Source organism: Homo sapiens, chromosome 8 (assembly GCF_000001405.40).
Source record: "Homo sapiens chromosome 8, GRCh38.p14 Primary Assembly".
NCBI classification, from domain to species: domain Eukaryota; kingdom Metazoa; phylum Chordata; class Mammalia; order Primates; family Hominidae; genus Homo; species Homo sapiens.
This window is the reverse complement of record NC_000008.11, coordinates 29,102,863-29,124,815: the sequence shown is the minus strand read 5'-3', so window position 1 is coordinate 29,124,815 and position 21,953 is coordinate 29,102,863. Positions and strand designations below refer to the sequence as shown.

Below are 21,953 nucleotides of genomic sequence, written 5' to 3'. Positions count from 1 at the left end.
TGCCTCCCGGGTTCAAGCGATTCTCCTGCCTCAGCTCCCAAGTAGCTGGGATTACAGGTACCCGCCACCACGCCTGGCTAATTTTTGTATTTTTAGTAGGGATGGGGTTTCACCATGTTGGGGAGGCTGGTCTCAAACTCCTGACCTCAGGTTATCTGCCTGCCTTGACCTCCCAAAGTGCTGGCATTACAGATGTGAGCCACTGCGCCTGGCCAATTTTTTATATTTTGAGTAGAGACAGGGTTTCGCTGTGTTAGCCAGGCTGGCCTCAAACTCCCGTCCTCAAGTGATTCACCTGCCTCAGCCTCCCAAAGTGCTGGGATTACAAGTGTGAGCCACCACGCCCAGCCATATTGGAAGATTATTGAGTCCTGTTTATCGGTTTTATCCAGCAAAGAGACCTTTTAGAAGATTTTTGTTGCAGGTGCTTAAAGCTCTACCCCCAAGCCATTAGAAATAAAACTGGTTCTGGATACCTGAGAATGCCCTTTCTGTTCTAGAAAATAATGCTTTAAATTCTGAAAATAGCTGTTTTGAAAGATGGGCGCAGTCAACTGGTGGTAGCAATAAAGAAATTATTGTATACTACCTTACCTTTCCAAGGCATAGTAGAGCAAGGTAAGATAGAGCATCAGTTTCAGATAGATTATCTTGACATTACATTGAATATGATTTTCCTTGCTTGCTTCCAGGATCGAGATTTAGAGAGACTTCGTAGAAAATGGCTAAATGCATTAACAAAACGTCAGGAGTACTTGGATCAACAATTGCAAAAGCTTGTCAGTAAACGTGGTAGGAAAAACAAATAGAATATTTTTCTCCCCTGCAAATCAATGCATAATTAATTATTCTCCCTTTGTAGCCACATCAGTTAAGAACCAGATGAACACATCAGTAATGGGGATGGCAGGAGCAGATGAGTGTTACTCTTTGTTTATGTCATATCCTTTATCCAGCTGTCGTATCTTGGTGGAGGTCTTCCTCCCACCCCCTACAAAGAAAGAGCAAATACAGTGCACAAAGCATACATGGTTTGTCAAAGATAACATAAAGGAAGGTGGTAACTTTTCTTATCCAAAGGGCTCGAGTCCTCTGACTCTGGACCAGTCACTCCTGTGCGGTCCCTCTGTAGGCCTCCCAGGAACTGAAGATGGCCTCTCTGCAGGAGCCCATCTGACCTCTCTAGCTGTGGGTTAGTTTTTATCACTGGGGAGCACTTGTGAGCTAATAATTGAAATATAGGCAAATCCAGTCTTTACTCAGGACAAAAAGATAAATGGCAAGTGAAGTTTTGTCATTGAATCCTCATTCTCGATGTTCTAGATAAAACAGAGGATGATGCTGACCGTGAAGCGCAGCTTCTGGAGATGCGGTTGACCCTAACTGAGGAGAGGAACGCGGTGATGGTCCCCTCTGCTGGCAGTGGTATTCCAGGGGCCCCAGCAGAATGGTATGAACCCTGTGGTGCGTCTTGTGAGGTCTGAACGCTCACCAAGCCACTTGCTTTTAGCTTGAATTTTGCGTGTGCTACGGTTAATGGAAGAGTCAATAGCATGGGGGGAAATGTTGTTTAAATTAAAGGAACTGTTAAATTATTTTCATGAGTTGAATAACTATGGCCTAAAACTGTTTTATTAAATAATGTTGTTATTGGCCAAAGTCATTAAGATTTCTGAGAACTTAAATCAATATTTAATACCACTGCACTTAGCATTAAGAAAATAGTTAATATGTTAATTACTTGGGTCATTCCCTTAGAAGACTGTTCGGTCATAAGAAAATTGCATCTCCACGCGATTTTGGTTTTGGTGCTGGCTTAAACTGTACTGTCAGCAAATGTTCTGTGCTACGTTATAGAAATTAAAAATAGTAAATTTAGCCAGAGGAAGCCCTTAAGTATATCATTTTATAAGAAAGTAGGTTTAAACAAGAGAACTTCACTACAAACAGGTAGTGTCTTATAAGGCTAAGTTCAAATGTCAGGGTATGAAGCAGCAGCTACAGTGGAGGCTTTGTGGCCTCTCTGATTCTGGATTAGAGTAAAATCAGGGCCAGGGTTATTACTGCTTTGCCCTGTAACAGCCCTGAATGCCATTAAGGCTGTGTTCCTACGTGCATGCCACTGAGAAAGTAACCTGAGGCAGATGCCATTTGTTCTTCCCGTTTTAGGACCCCAGTACCTGGGATGGAGACACACATTCCTGTTATATTCCTGGACTTAAATGGTAAGTTAGGAGGTGTTTTCTGAAGGCTTACCTCTGAAAATTTAGTGCCTACATAACATGTAGATTCCAACCAAGTGCATCGTGAGGCAATTCTGTCCCCCTAAGGCTAGAGCCAGTTTGACGTGTGTCCATGTCTCCTGGTTGCAGACGGACTGATTGGTGTGTCATAGTCTCATGTTTATGACAATAATAGGCGTGCTTCACCATACTCCTCACCTCTCATCCCTGCAGCTCACGGTGCCATGTGGATGCTCTGTTCTCCTGGTGTTAGGATGGTAGCAGTGTTTTTCTGCACTAAAAATATTTTCTAATTTATTTATTTATTTATTTATTTTTTGAGACAGAGTCTTGATCTGTCACCCAGGCTGGAGTGCAGTGGTGTGATCTCGGCTCACTGCAACCTCCACCTCCCCGGTTCAAGCGGTTCTCCTGCCTCAGCTTCCTGAGTAGCTGGGATTACAGGCTTGTGCCACCACGCCCGGCTAATTTTTTGTATTTTTAGTAGAGACGGGGTTTCACCATGTTAGCCAGGATGGTCTCGATCTCCTGACCTCGTGATCCGCCCTCCTTGGCCTCCCAAAGTGCTGGGATTACAGGCGTGAGCCACTGCGCCCGGCTTCTTCTTTAACTCTTGGGGAAAGACTTCTCTCTGGAAAGGACAAATAACTAGCGATACTTATGAAGCATGTTTCCTTCTTGTGGTGTTTTCTTAGCATTATCTAATAAATATCTCACTTTTTCTATGAGTTCTTGTGCCATTCATCCCTGTATTACCTGTTTAAAAAAAAAAAACTGCGAAAATTTTCTCCCATGTTGTAGGTTGCCTGTTCACTCTGATGGTAGTTTCTTTTGCTGTGCAGAAGCTCTTTAGTTTAATTAGATCCCATTTGTCAATTTTGGCTTTTGTTGCCATTGCTTTTGGTGTTTTGGACATGAAGTCCTTGCCCACGCCTATGTCCTGAATGGTAATGCCTAGGTTTTCTTCTAGGGTTTTTATGGTTTTAGGTTTAACGTTTAAATCTTTAATCCATCTTGAATTGATTTTTGTATAAGGTGTAAGGAAGGGATCCAGTTTCAGCTTTCTACATATGGCTAGCCAGTTTTCCCAGCACCATTTATTAAATAGGGAATCCTTTCCCCATTGCTTGTTTTTCTCAGGTTTGTCAAAGATCAGATAGTTGTAGATATGCGGCATTATTTCTGAGGGCTCTGTTCTGTTCCATTGATCTATATCTCTGTTTTGGTACCAGTACCATGCTGTTTTGGTTACTGTAGCCTTGTAGTATAGTTTGAAGTCAGGTAGTGTGATGCCTCCAGCTTTGTTCTTTTGGCTTAGGATTGACTTGGCAATGCGGGCTCTTTTTTGGTTCCATATGAACTTTAAAGTAGTTTTTTCCAATTCTGTGAAGAAAGTCATTGGTAGCTTGATGGGGATGGCATTGAATCTGTAAATTACCTTGGGCAGTATGGCCATTTTCACGATTTCGCAACCTACTCATCTGACAAAGGGCTAATATCCAGAATCTACAATGAACTCAAACAAATTTACAAGAAAAAAACAAACAACCCCATCAAAAAGTGGGCGAAGGACATGAACAGACACTTCTCAAAAGAAGACATTTATGCAGCCAAAAAACACATGAAGAAATGCTCATCATCACTGGCCATCAGAGAAATGCAAATCAAAACCACTATGAGATATCATCTCACACCAGTTAGAATGGCAATCATTAAAAAGTCAGGAAACAACAGGTGCTGGAGAGGATGCGGAGAAATAGGAACACTTTTACACTGTTGGTGGGACTGTAAACTAGTTCAACCATTGTGGAAGTCAGTGTGGCGATTCCTCAGGGATCTAGAACTAGAAATACCATTTGACCCAGCCATCCCATTACTGGGTATATACCCAAATGAGTATAAATCATGCTGCTATAAAGACACATGCACACGTATGTTTATTGCGGCACTATTCACAATAGCAAAGACTTGGAACCAACCCAAATGTCCAACAATGATAGACTGGATTAAGAAAATGTGGCACATATACACCATGGAATACTATGCAGCCATAAAAAATGATGAGTTCATGTCCTTTGTAGGGACATGGATGAAATTGGAAACCATCATTCTCAGTAAACTATCGCAAGAACAAAAAACCAAACACCGCATATTCTCACTCATAGGTGGGAATTGAACAATGAGATCACATGGACACAGGAAGGGGAATATCACACTCTGGGGACTGTGGTGGGGTCGGGGGAGGGGGGAGGGATAGCATTGGGAGATATACCTAATGCTAGATGACACGTTAGTGGGTGCAGCGCACCAGCATGGCACATGTATACATATGTAACTAACCTGCACAATGTGCACATGTACCCTAAAACTTAGAGTATAATAAAAAAAAAAAAAAAAAAAAAAAAACTGTCATTTTTCTGTTTCCCACTCACCACCATGTAAAATATTTTGGGCCTGGATACGTTTTACATATACTCTGCCACTAGGAGTTCTGCCTGTAGGAGGGAAAATAGAAAATGGAAGAGTAGATTAAGGATCTAAAAATAAGTTAGAAGTCAGCAGTTAAATTCCTAACACATCTGCAGAACTATGTATTAACGTTAACTCTCCTTAATAGATGAGTGTGGATGTCCTCCGTGGTTTTCTTCCACCTAGCTGACAGCGAGATGCAGTCTCTGAGGCATTTAGGATCTCCTGCCACTTAGCTTATTTAAATGGAAGATTTTTCTATGCATAGAGTTAGAGAATAATACCGAATAATACAGCCACTGTCTGTTTGCTTGATGGGGTGGAAGGTGTTTGTTTTTAAATGTTTGCCACAAGTCCTTATCCTGCTGTGGTGTTCTGAACTTGGCGCCTGAGGGTGATTCTGGCCTGTTCTTCTGTTAGGCTTCCTACGTAGGTGAGGTGCTTGTATTTGGGTGCAGGCAGGCATATGCATAAGAAAGTGAAAGACAATAAGCTTAAGGAAGACGTGTTAGTCTGGGCATTTGAGGGGATCATCAGGACTTTGGTCAGCATGGTACATGTTCTCGGTCCCCCCATGCCCACCTCCTAGAAAAGGAACTTTGGATGTCTGCCCACGAGCTCCAGGTGAAGGGGAGTGGGGAGGGCCAGGCTCGGGCCTGAGGAACCAGGGGGCCATGGTGCAGTCCTTCCATTTCCAGCCCATGCAGCCAGTGGAACCTTCTGGTGAATGTTGCTGTCAGGTGCCTGGAATCACCCTTGCTCGTTTCTGACCCTTCAGTGCACTAAATGGTACGGAATTTGTGTTATAACCCGGTCACTGACATTGATGAGATGACCTTGGGTAACCTCTTAGGTATCTTGGTTTCATTTGCCTTCCCTATAAAATAAGGCATAAGTGTAGCAGATTGGATGAGATCATTTTTTGAGGCACTTTCTTATCTTGAAGATCTGTGAACTTTTAAGTGGTCATCTTCAGTGTCATGTAAGATTTCAGAGCAAAAAGCAAATGAAATTTGAAGCAGAAGAATTGTAATAATCACATTGAAATTTAGCTGGTAGGGGTTATCCTTGAAAATGATCTCAGTATTTAATGGAACTTCTTTGCTTTTAGCTGATGATTTCAGCTCTCAGGATAATCTTGATGACCCAGAAGCTGGTGGATGGGATGCGACCTTGACTGGGGAAGAAGAAGAGGAGTTCTTTGAATTGCAGATTGTGAAGCAGCATGATGGGGAGGTAAGGAAAGCCTAACTTGGGATGGTCAGATGAAAAGTGGTTTCCTTAACCTCTCCTCGAGCTTTTTGAAACAATAAGGCAATCATGCCAGTACTTTACATTTCTCAAAATACATAAAGCAAAACCTTTCATCATGACTTCCAGAAGAATGGAGCTTGAACATCATATTACATCCATTCACCTTTTCCTTCCTTTCCTGGTAACTTGTACTGAGCTTGTGTGAGCAGTTCAGATCAGCAGCGGTCAGGAGCTTGAGGCTCTCTCTGTTCCTCAACCAGTGAGAGATGGAAGCAGGGGCTGCGGAAGTGCGTGGAGGTAAAATGGCACCAGGTTTGGGATTTGCTTTGGGATTTTTTTGTTTTGTTTTTGTTTTTAGATGGAGTCTTGCTCTGTCACCCAGGCTGGAGTACAGTGGCAGGATCTTGGCTCACTGCAGCCTCTGCCTCCCGGGTTCAAGTGATTCTCCTGCCTCAGCCTCCCGAGCAGCTGGGATTATAAGTGTGCGCCACCATGCCTGGCTAATTTTTTTTTTTTTTTTTTAGTAGAGATGGGGTTTCACCATGTTGGCCAAGCTGGTCTTCAACTCCTGACCGGAAGTGATCGCCTGCCTTGGCCTCCCAAAGTGCTGGGATTACAGGTGTGAGCCACTGTGCCTGGCTGGGATTTGCTTTGAAATCATTTTGTAAGGACTTTTTAATTTTTTTTTTATTGAGATGGAGTCTTGCTCTGTTGCCCAGGCTGGAGCGCAATGGTGCGATCTCAGCTCACTGCAATCTCTGCCTCCTGGGTTCAAGTGATCCTCTTGCCTCAATATCCCAAGTAGCTGTGAGTACAGGCACATGCCATCACACCTGGCTAATTTTTGTATTTTTAGTAGAGATGGGGTTTCACCATGTTGGTCAGGCTGGTCTCAAACTCCTGACCTCAAGTGATCTACTTGCCTTGGCTTCGCAAAGTGCTGGGATGACAGACATGAGCCACCGCGCCTGGCCAGGATTTATTAAAAAGGAAAAGAATAGGTGAAAGCAGTGTGGTGACATCTTGATTTTCATGGTTGAATCTGAGTGATGGGTATCTCACGGGAGTTTATTTTCTAATTTTGAGTATGTTTGAAAAATTATGAAATATATTCAGGAAGGAAAGCTGATATGTGATATTTGAGGACACATTATTACTTAATAGTGTCCCTAAGAAGCGAAACTTGAGTCTTGACAGTGAGGAGTCAGTCCGACACACCCAGCGGCTATGCATTCTGTAGAATAGTGGGCCGGCACCCTTCCAGTTCAGCAGGGTCAAGCGTGACAAGGAAGGGCCAAGGAGCTATTGCAGATTAGAGTAGACTAGAGAAACGTGACAACTAAAGGCAGTGTGTGGTTCCGGGATGGGGAAATTGAAAAATTTGAATAAGGGATTTTATATTAAATAATAGTGTATTCCTGTTAAATTTCCTAGATATTACTTTCAACTTACTTGAAAGTGGTTTAGCAAAAGTAATAATGTGTGTGTGTGAGTTGTGAGAAAGAGAAGCAAAAGTGGCCAAATGGTAGCAGTTGGTGCGTCGGGATGAAAGGGGTACAAATCACTCGACTGAATTTTTGCAACTTTTCTTGACATTTGAGCATTTTTTAATACAAATTTTAAAAGTAAGCCAGCCAGGATCATCATGCTCTATACTTTTCAGGCTAAGGTGATTGTGGCCACACTGTCACACTCCATTGTCTTTTCAGGGCAGCTGTCATAGTAGAACTTTGCTGGTGACTGGCATGTGCCCTTTCAGCCTGAGCCAAGGTGGTTTCCTTGAAAGAGTTTTCATGTTTCTGGAGAAGAGAGAAACCTGTTTCCTCTCTGTCTTCTCTCCAGGTGAAAGCAGAAGCCTCCTGGGACTCCGCGGTGCATGGCTGCCCTCAGCTCAGCAGGGGCACGCCCGTGGACGAGCGGTTGTTCCTGATCGTGCGCGTGACGGTCCAGCTCAGCCACCCTGCTGACATGCAACTGGTGTTACGCAAGAGAATCTGTGTCAATGTTCACGGCCGCCAGGTTAGTCTTCAGTGGAAGAAACGACTCTAACCACAGTTGCGACCTGAGGGTAGGGCCGTGCAGTGCTTGCTGTTAACCTTCTGTCCAAACAGGCTCCCGGAAGCACTGAGCTTTTCTTTTCCAGGTGACTGCTGCTGTCCTGTACCCATGCTTGCTTCAAGCCTCAGATGTGTCACTTGCTCCTGGACAGTATTTTTACACTGAATCTTTCTTAGGGCAGATTCACAAATTATGGTTATTCTTTTGGGTACCACACAACCCTGTCAAGGGCAAGGTCTGTGGTTTGGTTGTTGCCTTTTCATCTGGGCCCTGTCAAATGAGGAGTTTCCCTCTTACTCTGCTCTTTCCAGACTTTTTTTTTTAAGATAGAGTCTTGCTCTGTTGCTCAGGCTGGAGTACAGTGATGCGATCATAGCTCACTGCAGCCATCGTCTCCTGGGCTCAGGTGATCCTTCCATCTCAGCCTCCCCGGTAGCTGGGACCACAGACGTGTGCCACCACATCCGGCTAATTTTTTGTATTCCTTATGGAGACGGGGTCTCGCCATGCTGCCAGGGTGCGTTCCAGACCTTTTACCTCTTGCAGTCTTTGATTTGTATATTTGGCTTTGGGATAAAAAGGTGAATAAGAAATGAGCCCAGTGCAGTGGCGCACGCCTGCTCTCCCAGTAACTCAGGAGGCTGAGGCAGCAGGATTACTTGAGCCTAGGAGTTTGAGTCCAGTCTGGGCGATGCATCTCAAAAAAGAAACAAAAAGAAGTCTGTGTCCTTAAAGAGCCAAGTTGATTTGTGTAGGTAGATACGTAACAGGCAACTGCTCTCGGCCTGAGCTGAGCACGTGGTGCAGGTCCTCATCACTTGTGGTGAGAATGCAGGTAAGAGAAGGAAGAATTCAGCCCCAGGGAGTCGGGGTGGTGGGGGCGCTTCAGAGAGGAGGGCAGCGTTTGAACTGGGACTTAGAGAGGAGGGGCATTGGCCAGGCATAGTAGGAGGAGATGCAGTTCCGTGGACAGGAGGAAATACACATGCAGAGAGAGTGGGGAGGGCAGGGCAGGACGGGGCAGGATCGGGGACCGCGAGGAGCTCCATGTGCTGGGGGTCCTGCCTGTGCCAAGGAGCATGGCTCTCACATAGTTGCAGCTGGATTATGAAGGTCCATGTGCCATATGAAGGGGTTTAGTACAAAACTTCTAGGTAAGAATTTAAGGCCAGGTGTGGTGGCTTATGCCTGTAATCCCAACACTTTGGGAGGCCGAGGCAGGTGGCTCACCTGAGGTCGGGAGTTTGAGACCAGCCTGACCAACATGGAGAAACCCTGTCTCTACTAAAACTACAAAATTAGCTGGGTGTGGTGGTGGGTGCCTGCAATCTCAGCTACTCAGGAGGCTGAGGCAAGAGAATTGCTTAAACCCGGGAGGCGGAGGTTGCGGTGAGCCAAGATTGCACCGTTGCACTCCAGCCTGGGCAACAAGAGTGAAACTCTGTCTCAAAAAAAAAAAAAAAAATTCTTTTTTTTTACTGGTTTTGCAAATATAAAGATTTGGGAGATTGCGTCTGGGGATCCTTTTAACTGTCTTATCTCCCTTTTTTGAGGCATTCTCAATACACTGACTAAAACCAGTACAGATGAAAATCTTTTCATTTAAAAGAGCACAGTCATGGTTGACAGACTCCTAGATGTAATCTCCACCCCTAAAAATTAATCTTTAGTTCTAAATGTCACACTGATATCAATCTTTGAAATGAAGACTGGCGGTAATGCCATTAAAATTGCAGCTCTTTAGCTTGGCAATCCAACATCAATAAAATCCAGGTCACGGGGTTAGCTATAGATGTATACGGTATGCACCCATTCACTCTCTCTGTCTTCCTTTTCTCATGAGTCTGTGAGGGTTTGAAAAAGACACACTGCTCATGAGGAGCATTTTGAAGAGCGATTTTCCATTTCGGAATTAGACATCCTGGTTGCCAGGCCCTGGGACTGACCTGGCACAACCACCGGCCCTACAGGGTCCTTGACAGAAAAGGTACATTGTATAGTCGCCGCATGTTGCTTGGTTTTTGTTTCTATTGTAGGGACAATAGGTTGCCATATTTTTCTTTTTCCTGGTTGAAATGATGTGGAAGTATTTTTAAGGCATGCCATTTTCTCTCTCAATTTCAGATATTTCATTCCTAAGAATCGTCATGTGGAAGGCTCTCTTCTTTATAACAAGAATAGGACCTTCCACATGACCCTAATACACACACGTCAGCTTCACTAATTCCATACAAATGGAAAACCAAAAGGTAGGATAATAGTAGCATCTACATCTCCCTTCACCACCCCTAAGGACAGTGATCTCTATACCTTGACTTGTGTAATTAGCCTTGGCTCAGCACTGCAAGGCTAAAGTTAAGGGAGAGAATTAATGACATAAATGGTCTCTCTGCATTCTGAGATGCTATATTCTTTTAAAAATGTAAAGATCATTGAATATGAAATAAATCATCATTAGGTAGGTTTGTGAAATGATGTATGTCTAAGACCAAATAGCTTGGCTTTGCTCTTTTCTTGGGGGCTTCACATGTTTCTGCCATTCCTGTTGCATGGGGTGAAAGCTCGGTGCCCATTTCATGTGCTCTCCCCTTTACCTTTGTTCCCTGATGGTATTCTGCTCTCATCCCTGCTCTCTTCAACCTCTGCAGGGTGTTCAGTCTTAACAGCATCTTGAAATGAGTCATCTATGCATTAATTCAACAGTTCAATTCCTAACTGTGCAAAGAGCGCAGTCAGCATAAACAATGACCGTGCACTCTTAAATCATTCCTCATAACGATCTTGCTTTGGTCAAGAATTTAATGCCCGGACTTGTCAATATTCATGGTACGAGATGTCCATCGTGCTGGGGAGAAAAAAAGTGTAAGCATCACCAGTCGTTGCTTCCATCTTAGTTAGAAGGTCATTTTATTGTATGGAAGTCAACAAGCTTATATTTCTGTAGCATTGAAGCACCGTTCATCCAGATGCCTACTGCCAGTTTACAGACTTGGTGGTGTATACTTTTCCTATGTTGGGTGTAGGACCTGTCATACATGGTGGGCATCTAATAAGTTGGTTTCGTACCATAGGACAACGATGAAGAAACCGTACTTGGTGATTTCACTTGCTTATGTTGGAAACCTGCTCTGTTTTCTTTTGGTTAGAATGAACCAGTATTTTCCATGCTGTCTTTTGTTAATGTAAACTCAGTTTTTCAGGTGGGAAACCATATCTTCTATTTTGTTTTTCTCTAGGGTTTTGCACAGAGTCTCCTAAAAAAGATGTCTCATCGAAGTTCTATTCCTGGCTGTGGAGTGACTTTTGAAATTGTCTCCAATATTCCAGAGGTGAAGGATATACAATTTAAATTTACTAAAAATAAACACTTAAAAAGAGCCAACTCCCTGAAAAGTGACCTACCCATGACATACATATGAAGTGAAAGTGTATGTTTAGGGAAGGTATAGATTTTTAGAGGAATTTTCTAATATCAATTCATAGTAAAATGTACTTGTGGCTTTAAAAGTTCTAGTTTTAGTATTTTGTTGAAGAACTTTCTTTTGAAAAGCAAATCAACACCTTCTTACGCAGAAGGTGACAGAAGAGAAACATATTGTACCCAGGAAGGGAGGCAGCGTAGCATAGAGATTCCAGTTGGATCCTGAAGTCAAACAGAAATCTTGTTTCTGTCACTTATTAGCAGAGTGAACTTGCGTAAATTACTCTGAGCCCATATTTTTTTTTTCTTGTCAAATGGGGTTAGTAATATCTTTGCACAAAGTGTTTTTAAGGATCAAATGAGACAATGTGTACCAATTGTTGTGCGTGTGCTAGAGAACATGTTATTGCTACTATCGTTGTTACTATGATTATTATTTTATTAGTACTATTATTATTTCTCTTTCTGAACTAATTGAGATATTCAGAGGATTCAGAGAAGCAGAGCTTAAATTTATCCCTGGTACAAGCTTGATGGAAGATGTGGCTTATCTGTACTTCCTGATAGGTGATTCGTGAATTAGACATGTATTCATTCACCCAGGTGCCAGCACAGCTGGGAAATGGGGCATCCCTTGCAGGGCCAGGAGAAGTGAGGGTCCTAAGGGAAGGACTCTGTGAAAAGAGAAAATTCCTTCTCCCACCCTCACCCTCAAAGAGGGGATGTGGGCAAGGGGGTGGAGATTTCACTTCCTCGGGGTTGGAGAAGTGGGGGTGTGAGACATCAGAAGACGCCCCTCATACCATGCCATCAACACCAGCACCAGTTCCCGTCATTTCAGGGCTTAGGATTTGCCCACTGACACTGTTGAGTATTTGAACAATAGGTGAACAGTGTATATTTTAATACAGAAATCAGCTTTTTTTTTTTTTTTTTTTTGAGACTGAGTCTCGCTCTGTCACCAGGTTGGAGTGCAGTGGTGTGATCTTGGCTCACTGCAACCTCCGACTCCCGGGTTCAAGTGATTCTCCTGCCTCAGCCTCCCTAGTAGCTGGGATTACAGGCACGTGCCACCACGCCCAGCTAATTTTTGTATTTTAAGTAGAGACGGGATTTCACCACGTTGGCCAGGATGCTCTCAGTCTCCTGACCTCGTGATCCGCCCGTGCTGGGATTACAGGCGTGAGCCACTATGCCTGGCCGGAGATCAGCTTTTGGAAAAGAAAAATATTACATGGTACTTAGGCTTTCTTTTAGATATCTTGTGTTGCAAAATGCTTTTGCCTCTCAAGTCATGTTGGATAGTAACTAGTTCTTTCCTGGATCTTTGAAGTGTTAGACTTGCATAGTAAATATTAACCATCTAATTATTTAATTTGGAGTTTGCAGAACATTTAAAAATTAAGCCTGTTTGCAGAGTTAGTCGTTGCACGGTCTTGGGCCTGTAATAGATTGCTCTGTGTGCTTCATTCACTCTTGTTTGTAAGATTTAAAACAAGTATACATCTATGTCTAGCTAGAGACTTACTGTTTACTCTGTGTATCTAAACATTTTCTATATTTTCCAGTTGTTTCAGATCTTGTCTCTGTAAATCGCTTGAATGCAGTTGAGAAACGGTGATGGCTGTAGGAAACTGCTTTCATTTCTTCCTTTTCTCTCTCCATTTCCCCTCCCTTTTCCTTCTCTCCCACTTAGTTTCTTATGCCTTTTAAAAAAAGTGCTTTTATTCTCCAGGCGATAGGGTTTTAAAAGGAAAGAAATATAGGGGGGATCAGCTTGAAGATAAACATAACCTCATGTGAATTTGCTGTTAGTTAGCTAAACATCCAAGCTGGCAAACATTGTTTCCACATTATCAAATCCTGATGATAAAGGCAAAATGAAACATAAAGCTGATTGTGTAAAGACTAGATCTAAAAACAAAATAAAAAGATCCCTTAATAGGCAAGTTTCATCATGAAAAAGCCCCAAAAGTTGCTTGGGTTCTGTATCACAGAAGCCATTAGGGCATCATGGCCAAAAGAAGTGGCCCAGGCCAGAGACAATTTCTTTCTCCTTATAAAATTAGGATAATATCTGTTCCCTCCAGACCCTGAAAGTATTCTGTGTTGGGGTGAAAAGAATACCCTACCAGGAGACGGGAGACCTAAGTTCTAGTTTTGACTCTTGCTAATTGTGTGGTCTTCCTCTTGTCATCTAGGAAATGAGGATGATTCCTTCTTTTCATGGTTATTACAAGGCTCAGATGAATTACTGTACAAGACAAAAGTTTTTGTGAACTTAAGCCGTCTTACAAATCCTCCCACATTTTATCTGTTCTAAGACTCATTTAAATTTTTAAAAGTATCTTTGAAGTAGAATGTGTCTTATAATTGATGGTATCTTAAAATTAACAGAGTTTGTTTTCCCCTCAATCTTGTTTAAAATATTTTGTCTTACAGTTGATGGCATTTAAGATGCAGTGGCATATGGTTATACATTTTGTAGTTTTGGCATTATTATAAGAAATTTACAAGTGAATAAAGTATCTGATTTTTCCTGAGAACAGTAATTTGTTAAGAGCCCACTTTGCTTGAAATAACTAAATACATTAATAAAGCCTCTTTCTGACTGTGCACCTCCCATTTGTATGCACAGCCAGCTCACATCCCAGGATTGGGGATGGGCTATACCAGAAAGCTCAGTGTAGGAGAACTTACCTAGATAACCTCTCCTTGGTCGGCTCCAGGCCTTTGGCCACTGCCACTCGAGCAGAAGATTGAACCAATTCTAGAAGCTGCCATGTTCTGAATATGTCAGCTACCCTGGGCTGCTTGGTGGCAGGCGCTGAAACCCTATGTCCACTATCTTCTCCCTTCCGGGCCTCCTCCCTGGGAGGCAGTTTGATTCCTACGCTGTGTAGCAGTCACCCCAGCCCCTCTTCCCTTTCTCTGTCCCTCAGGAGTTCCAGGGCGGGGGTAATGTTCCTGAATTGTTTTTACGGTGGTTACATTTCTGGCTAGTCGACAAAATCCTTTCTAACCAGTCATGGGTTTTTTGTAGTGGGAATGTAGTAGAGAACAGTTTTGTTGAGAATGCGCTGTGTTTCAGCTGTGCTGTGTTTAAATTAACCAGCCTTTCAAGTGGACCTAGTCACCTAATCACCTTTTCATTATTTCCTTGGAAAAATGCTTTGGCGTTCCAAAGCTGACTTTAAAATGGAATTTTGGAATACGTTCTGTGTGTCTGTGTGTGCACGCGTGTACGTGTGTGTGTGTACATCAAGAAGCTTTTATAATGTATAACTTTCCACTGCTCAGGATGCCCAGGGAGTGGAAGAACGGGAAGCATTAGCAAGAATGGCAGCCAATGTTGAAAACCCAGCTTCTGCTGACTCGGAGGCTTATATTGAAAAGTACCTCAGGAGCGTGCTGGCTGTAGAAAACCTCCTGACTTTAGATCGTCTGCGCCAGGTTAGCCAACCGCATGGATAGGGCGGGCAGCAGAGGCCCTGATGCAGGCTGAGTCTGTGTTTGACTCTGTAATTCACAGTGTTGTTGCACCTAACATTTGAAGAGTTCACTCTAATGAACTTTGAATAATCCAGAGTGATTGTAATTGGGTCATTCTGTCTTACAAAGTAACAGCCTTTATTTAATTTTAAAAGTCTGTTTATGGGTACATAGTAGATGTATGTATTTATGGAGCTCATGTGCTGTTTTGATACAGGCATGCAGTACGTAATAATCACGTAACAGCATTGTTTAAATAGCTAGGAATGTCTGTATAGATGGGGGTTGCAAGTCTGCTGTACATGGTGTTGCTTTTGCAGTGTGTCTCTTACATGTCTTTTTCCTCTGTATGTTTTCTGATTCACAGGAAGTTGCAGTGAAGGAACAGTTAACAGGAAAAGGAAAGTTGAGCAGGAGGAGTATCAGTTCTCCAAATGTGAACAGAGTGAGTGTGTGGAACCAAGCTCTGTGCTGTGCCTGGGACTTCTCTCCTCTCCTCTTTTCTTGGGTAACTCTTCTCCACCCGTCAAACCCCATCTCCGAAACCCTTCCCTTGCCAGGACTGATGTCAGGGCCCCTGGTCTCCACCCCACTGGGTCTGTGCACCTCTGCCCCTGTTCCTACTAATATTATAGGGGAAGTAGCAGTTAAGTACCTTTCAGGTGTTTCTTATCTTCCGATCACCACTGCCTAGCATAGACTGAGGTGTTCAGTGAATGTTTGTGGAACTAAACCCAAACTAGCCACGGGCCTATGGCAAGCCAATGCCATTTTCTGGGCTTAGATTATTTTTAAGTTGAGGAGGAGTCTGGACCAGGTTCACAAACCAGTTGTTCACAAGACAGCCAGGGTGGTGTCCATGCGTCAGATACATGGGGTTGTTTCATAACAGTGGCTTCAGTTTATTGTTGTTTTTAAAAACCTATATATAATTTATGTGCATATTGAACATGGGAATAATCCTTCACAAAGAAATAGGCTCTTGGCCGCTTGATTACTCTTTTCCTCATTTTTGATGAAGATGTGGATATGAAAAATGATACTTTCCTCCTAACTTCACACCAAGAGAAGTTACAGCACAAGCATTGTGAGAAAGGGCAGCTGACCTTGGCCTTAGTGTCTGAGAGAGAAGAGAGAGTGATAGGAGGAGTTTCACGCTGGATGCCACCAACCATCTCAGACATTTAGGAAGATCACTTTAACTCAAGGCGGATAACGTCTCATTTATTCAGAAAATGATATATTAAAATACACTGACATATGCAGAGATTCAGTGTTTGGGATCTGATAGTTTAAATAGTTTGTGAGTTTATTTACAGTTGCTACAGATACCAAGAGAAAGGAATCATAAGCTCAGGCCATGGTTAGATAACAAGTAACCTGGTATCTTTCACACAGAAGGGCTCACCCAACGCGACATCTCTTGTTCAGGTCCAGCCGGTTGTGACCTCAGTGTGAACTGAATATCCAGATCTTATAGAAATCTCTCATCTGAAAATTGTTCATAACCAATTCAATGTTTGTAATGTCCCAAAGACCACTAGTGTGCAGCCTTCGTCATGACAACCTCTCTGCTGCCACCCAACTTTGACGTTCGGTTGACTGGGTTGGCAAAGACTGGCGTTGCCTAGACCACGTGTATGCTCTGATGCATAAATAACTAACCCCCCTTTCTTTCTTCTTCAGTTGTCTGGAAGCCGACAAGATCTCATTCCATCATACAGTCTAGGCAGCAACAAGGTAGGTGTTTTAACTATTTCTATCAGTGTTTTAAGTCCCATTTCCCATTCAGCTTTCATCTTCTCAAATCTCAGGTTATTTTTGCAAGCCAGAATTTCCTCTACTCATCTGTATTATGTGAAACTTACTTGAAAGTGTTTTAGAGTTCATTTCTTTTAATTTGCCAATTAAAATAAGGTTTATTAGACTCTGACTACTGGGGTTGAAAAACAATTTTTCTGCTAAAGCTCGTACTTCTGTCTAAATTTCCTTCCTATTTCTGTCAGAAAAGAAACTTCAGGCTGGGCGCAGTGGCTCACGTATGTAATCCCAGCACTTTGGGAGGCCAAGGAGGGCGGATCACGAGGTCAGGAGATCGAGACCATCCTGGCTAACACGGTGAAACCCCGTCTCTACTAAAAATACAAAAAACTAGTCAGGCGAGGTGGCGGGCACCTGTAGTCCCAGCTACTCGGGAGGCTAAGGCAGGAGAATGGTGTGAACCCCGGGGGGCGGAGCCTGCAGTGAGCCAAAATCGCACCACTGCACTCCAGCCTGGGCAACAGCGAGACTCTGTCTCAAAAAAAAAAAAAAAAAGAAACTTCAAATTAGATTTTGTGTGTGTGTGTGTGTGATGATGTTTCGCTCTTGTCACCCAGGCTGGAGTGCAATGACGCGATCTCGGCTTACTACAACCTCCGCCTCCCAGGTTCAAGCGATTCTCCTGCCTCAGCCTCCCAAATAGCTGGGATTACAGGTGCATGCCACCACACCCAGCTAATTTTTATGTTTTTACTAGAGACAGGGTTTCACCGTGTTGGCCAGGCTGGTCTCAAACTCCAGACCGCAGGTAATCCACCTGCCTCAGCCTCCCAAAGTGCTGGGATTACAGGCGTGAGCCACTGCACCTGGCCCAAATCAGATTTTTGTAGAGAAGTACTGATGTATAATGATTGAAAAATGTAGGAGGAATAAGAAAATTATATCTAAAAGTTAACATTATTTGTGAGAAGAAAGAAAAACAAGGGAACGGAAATTTTATTCGCTGGAATTTATTTATGTGTAATAGAGCCTTCCCTGTTTAGCAGAGTTTTAAGCATGGAGAACTCATTCTTTTTCAAAAAGGTTAGCACTCCTTGAAACTGTCTTACTTGGGCACCACACATCGTAGTTTGTGCCTGTCACTTTTGAGGGGTCTGGTTAGATGTTGGTACTGCCATCTGTGTGCAGCATGCCCCATGTTGATTTGCAGCCCTTGAGGAGGTCAGTAGTGGCTGTGGTCTTATGAGATGGTCTGATGTGAGGGAGTCGTTTTCAAATCTACGAGGCAGCGTGACAGAGACAGAAGATTGGCTGCTTCATGATAATTCTTAAAGCTGAGTGGAGTTCATTGTGCTATTCCAATTGTTAATTATTCTACACTGTGCTTTTGTGTATGTTTGACATTTCCCTTATAAAAACTTAAGAACAATGAAGATTAAGTTGATGCATTAATTAGACTTTTTTTTTTTTTTTTTTTTTTTTTTTGAGACAGAGTTTCGCTCTTGTTGCCCAGGCTGGAGTGCAGTGGCAGCATCTCAGCTCACTGCAACTTCTGCCTCCCAGGTTCAAGTGATTCTCCTGCCTCAGCCTCCCCAGTAGCGGGGATTGCAGGCACTCGCCACCACGCCCTACTAACTTTTGTATTTTTAGTAGAGACGGGGTTTCACCATGTTGGCCAGCCTGGTCTCGAACTCCTGACCTCAAGTGATCTGTCCGCCTTGGCCTCCCAAAGTGCTGGGATTACAGGCATAAGCCACTGCTGCTGGCTGTAGACTCTTTTAAGATCTAGATTATTAGTAGTTTGCCTACACTATGATACATGTATATGTTTGTAGACATACAAATTGCTGTCCAGCTTATCCGTTCACTGGAGCCCTGCATGGACACGGGTTTCTGTAAGTGTGCTGAAGTTTAATGCTTGTTTGTACTCTGCCAGTGATAGGTTTGATTAGCTGTAGCTTAGCATCAGTTGTGATTACCTGAAGAGAGCAGAGTTTTTGAAAATTGATTGTACGTGACTTTTTAATGTAAGTAAAATATCTTAAGGAAAATATAAGAAAAACATGACTTCCTGTGCTTTTGTGGAAAATGTATCTAACCCAAATCTCCAATTATAAGTTCCTTGAAAGAAGTGGCCAAAATTCTTCTGTTTTTCTTCTGTTAAGAAAACTCTGGCCAGGCCTGTAATCCCAGCACTTTGGGAGGTTGAGGCAGGTGGATCACCTGAGGTCAGGAGTTCAAGACCAGCCTGCCCAACATGGTGAAACCCCGTCTCTACTAAAAATACAAAAATTAGCTGGGTGTGGTGCCAGGCGCCTGTAATCCCAGCTACTCGGAAGGCTGAGGCAGGAGAATTTCTTGAACCCGGGAGGCGGAAGTTGCAGTGAGCCAAGATCGTGCCACTGCACTCCAGCCTGGGCGACAGAGCGAGACTCTGTCTCAAAAAAAAAAAAAAAAAAAAAAAAAACCAAACAAACTCTGCCCAGTTTCCTTATTTTAAATGGATACAATAACAGAAAATAATAGAATCTACTTCAAAGAAAAGTACTGTCCCTCACGTGCACCAGAAAAATAGGACAAAGGAGCAGAGATGCTATTAGAACCCAGCCAGGGCATGGCAGAGGGCATGGACCCCCCACTGGCTTCACACAGGACTCACAGGAGGCTGCAGGGCAGAGGCCATTCTTAAGCCTCCCCCTGAAGGATGACACTGAGGTCCACACAGGCAGGAAAGGAGCTGAAGGAACACTGTGAGCAGAAGGATCTGTGTGAACGAAGGCTTGGGGATGAACCAGGTTGCTGTGTTCTTGACAGTACATGCAGTGGGAGTCAAGCTCAGAGTGTACAGGCCGGGCGCGGTGGCTCATGCTTGTAATCTCAGTAGTTTGGGAGGTCCAGGTGGGAGGATGGCTTGAGCCCAGCAGTTTGAGACCAGCCTGGGCAACATAGGGAGTCCCTTTCTCTGCAAAAAAAAATTTAAAAAATTAGCGAGGCAATATGGCTTATGCTTGTAATCCCAGCTATTCGAGGCTGAGGCAGGGGAGGATCACTTGAGCCCGGGAGTTTGAGGCCACAGTGAACTATGATTGCACCATTGCACTCCAGCCTGGGTGACAGAGAGAGACCCTGTCTTCCAAAAAAAAAAAGGAAAAAAAACCATCCTGGCTAACACAGTGAAACCCCATCTCTACTAAAAATACAGAAAATTAGCCGGGCGAGGTGGTGGGCACCTGTAGTCCCAGCTACTCGGGAGGCTGAGGCAAGAGAATGGCGTGAACCACGGGGGGCGGAGCCTGCAGTGAGCCGAGATCGCGCCACTGCACTCCAGCCTGGGCGACAGCGAGACTCTGTCTCAAAAAAAATAAAAAATAAAAAAAAGAAAAAGTAGAGGGAGTCTGTGGGCAGAACCCAGAGAGGCGGGGCCTTATTTTTGGCATCTTGACGTCATGTCCCAAGGAATGGCAGGGGAGTTGGACACCATGGAAGGACTTGAAAACAGAGCAGTAATATGACCACATGTGAATTAAAAAGTTTGTTTTAATGGTCCAGCTGAGCCCCACCCCGTCCCTAGCTGTGGTGTGTAATTTTGCATTAGGAAACTATATGGTACAAATGTATGCAGTTATCAATGCAAACGTGGGGAAAAATGGTTTTGAGTTGGAGAGTGGAGGGACCGGTTAGGGGAGAAATAGCCAGAGAGATGACGAGAGACACAGATGGGTTGGAGAGGGGTACTCTAGAATCCTGCAGAGGCCAAGTATGTGACGGGCTGGAGTGAGGGGACTTGGGTGACATCGGGTTTTGGACAGCAGTGTATAGGTCCGAGAGATGAACTATAGGGCAGGCTTGGGGAGGAAATGATTCAGTTCCATTTTCGAGGGTCTCAGGTGTCCGAGTTGAAGCCAGGTTTGGGAGCCCGAGGGGATAGTGGGGACAGTGTGGGGCGGGGTTGGCTGGGGAGCGCCGAGGCAGTGGTGACACTTAGGGCCACTGAGGTGCACTGAGGTGGCGGCGCCAGGGAGGAATGAAGACAGGGCCAAGGGAGTCTCAGAAGTCCAGGGGAGGAGTGTTTTAGGAAGGACTCCATCCACATGCTTCGGAGACAGCATGGGGTGAGGATGGGGGGAGACCATTTCAGGTGCAACGCTGCAGGGCTCATTGTGTGCCTGTGCAAGGTGCCTTCCGTGCAGGGCTGGGGATTAGCAAGACAAATCGTATTAGGCAAGTAACTGTGATGTCTCACAGTTGTGTTAACGCTTCTGGACCTTCCTACTTTTCGTTCTTGGTTCCTTGGGGTCCCCGAGTAACTTAGTGAGGACGTGGGAGGCGAGAGGAAAGTGGTTCGGTTCTAAAGAGGAACTCATAGTTTGGTCTAATAATACTTGGAATGAGGCCAGCCTGCTTTCCATTCCTCTATTTGTCGATGCCCCTACATATGAAAAGTGGAATTGTTTTTGCTGAACTCCACCAAGATTGAATTGATGAACTAATTAATCTTAAAAAATAGTTTTGTTAACTATTCCAAATGCGAAATTCACCATAGGGCCTAAAATAAATCACTCTTGGGATAAGTCTTTCAATTAAAAATATAAAATATGATCCCTGATGGAAGTAGTGTTTCTATTTATTGCTATCGTGTGTTTCATCATTATTGTACAGATATTTTCTCTAGGTATAATGAAACCTTAGCAGGCTTTTTATGACTGTCTGCCAAGACCGGCTGAAGTTGAGGTGCAGGATGAATTTCGGCGTGTCGTTGGTCTTTCCACCCTGGAGTCAGCTGTGCATTGAGGTCTTTTGCAATGTGACAAATGCTGTCAAGACAAAATCATTTTTTTTGTTATTGTTGTTTTACTTGTTTTTTTTTTTTTTTTTTGAGACAGAGTCTCACTCTTTCGCCCAGGCCGGACTGCAGTGGCGCTATCTCGGCTCACTGCAAGCTCCGCCTCCTGGGTTCAAGCCGTTCTCCTGCCTCAGCCTCCCGAGTAGCTGGGACTACAGGCGCCCGCCACCGTGCCTGGCTAATTTTTTGTATTTTTAGTAGAGACGGGGTTTCATCATGTTAGCCAGGATGGTCTCGATCTCCTGACCTCGTGATCTGCCTGCCTTGGCTTCCCAAAGTGCTGGGATTACGGGCGTGAGCCACCGCACCTGGCCGACAAAATCATTTTTATTTCCAAAGTTATTTTAGGAGAAATTTTATTTTTAAGAAGTCAATAAGGTTGTATGTTTGTCATCTTTTGATTGGAGTTTTT

The 21,953-nt window shown here is 43.8% G+C and overlaps 1 protein-coding gene across 8 annotated transcripts in view; it reads left to right on the top strand.

Annotated features, from left to right (window-relative positions):
- The window catches only part of KIF13B (kinesin family member 13B), a 196,111-nt gene that overhangs the window by 138,573 nt on the left and 35,585 nt on the right, over window positions 1–21,953 (top strand). For 6 of the 8 annotated variants that reach the window (XM_011544459.4, XM_011544458.2, XM_011544457.2 and 3 more), the window contains 9 exons: window positions 693–792; window positions 1,324–1,450; window positions 2,170–2,225; window positions 5,824–5,948; window positions 7,809–7,985; window positions 11,261–11,353; window positions 14,746–14,898; window positions 15,305–15,445; window positions 16,624–16,677. In XM_011544459.4, coding sequence (XP_011542761.1) covers window positions 693–792; window positions 1,324–1,450; window positions 2,170–2,225; window positions 5,824–5,948; window positions 7,809–7,985; window positions 11,261–11,353; window positions 14,746–14,898; window positions 15,305–15,445; window positions 16,624–16,677 — 1,026 coding nt within the window. The remainder of the gene's footprint in view (window positions 1–692; window positions 793–1,323; window positions 1,451–2,169; window positions 2,226–5,823; window positions 5,949–7,808; window positions 7,986–11,260; window positions 11,354–14,745; window positions 14,899–15,304; window positions 15,446–16,623; window positions 16,678–21,953) is intronic. The other 2 variants (XM_005273458.2, NM_015254.4) reach the window with 1 other exon arrangement.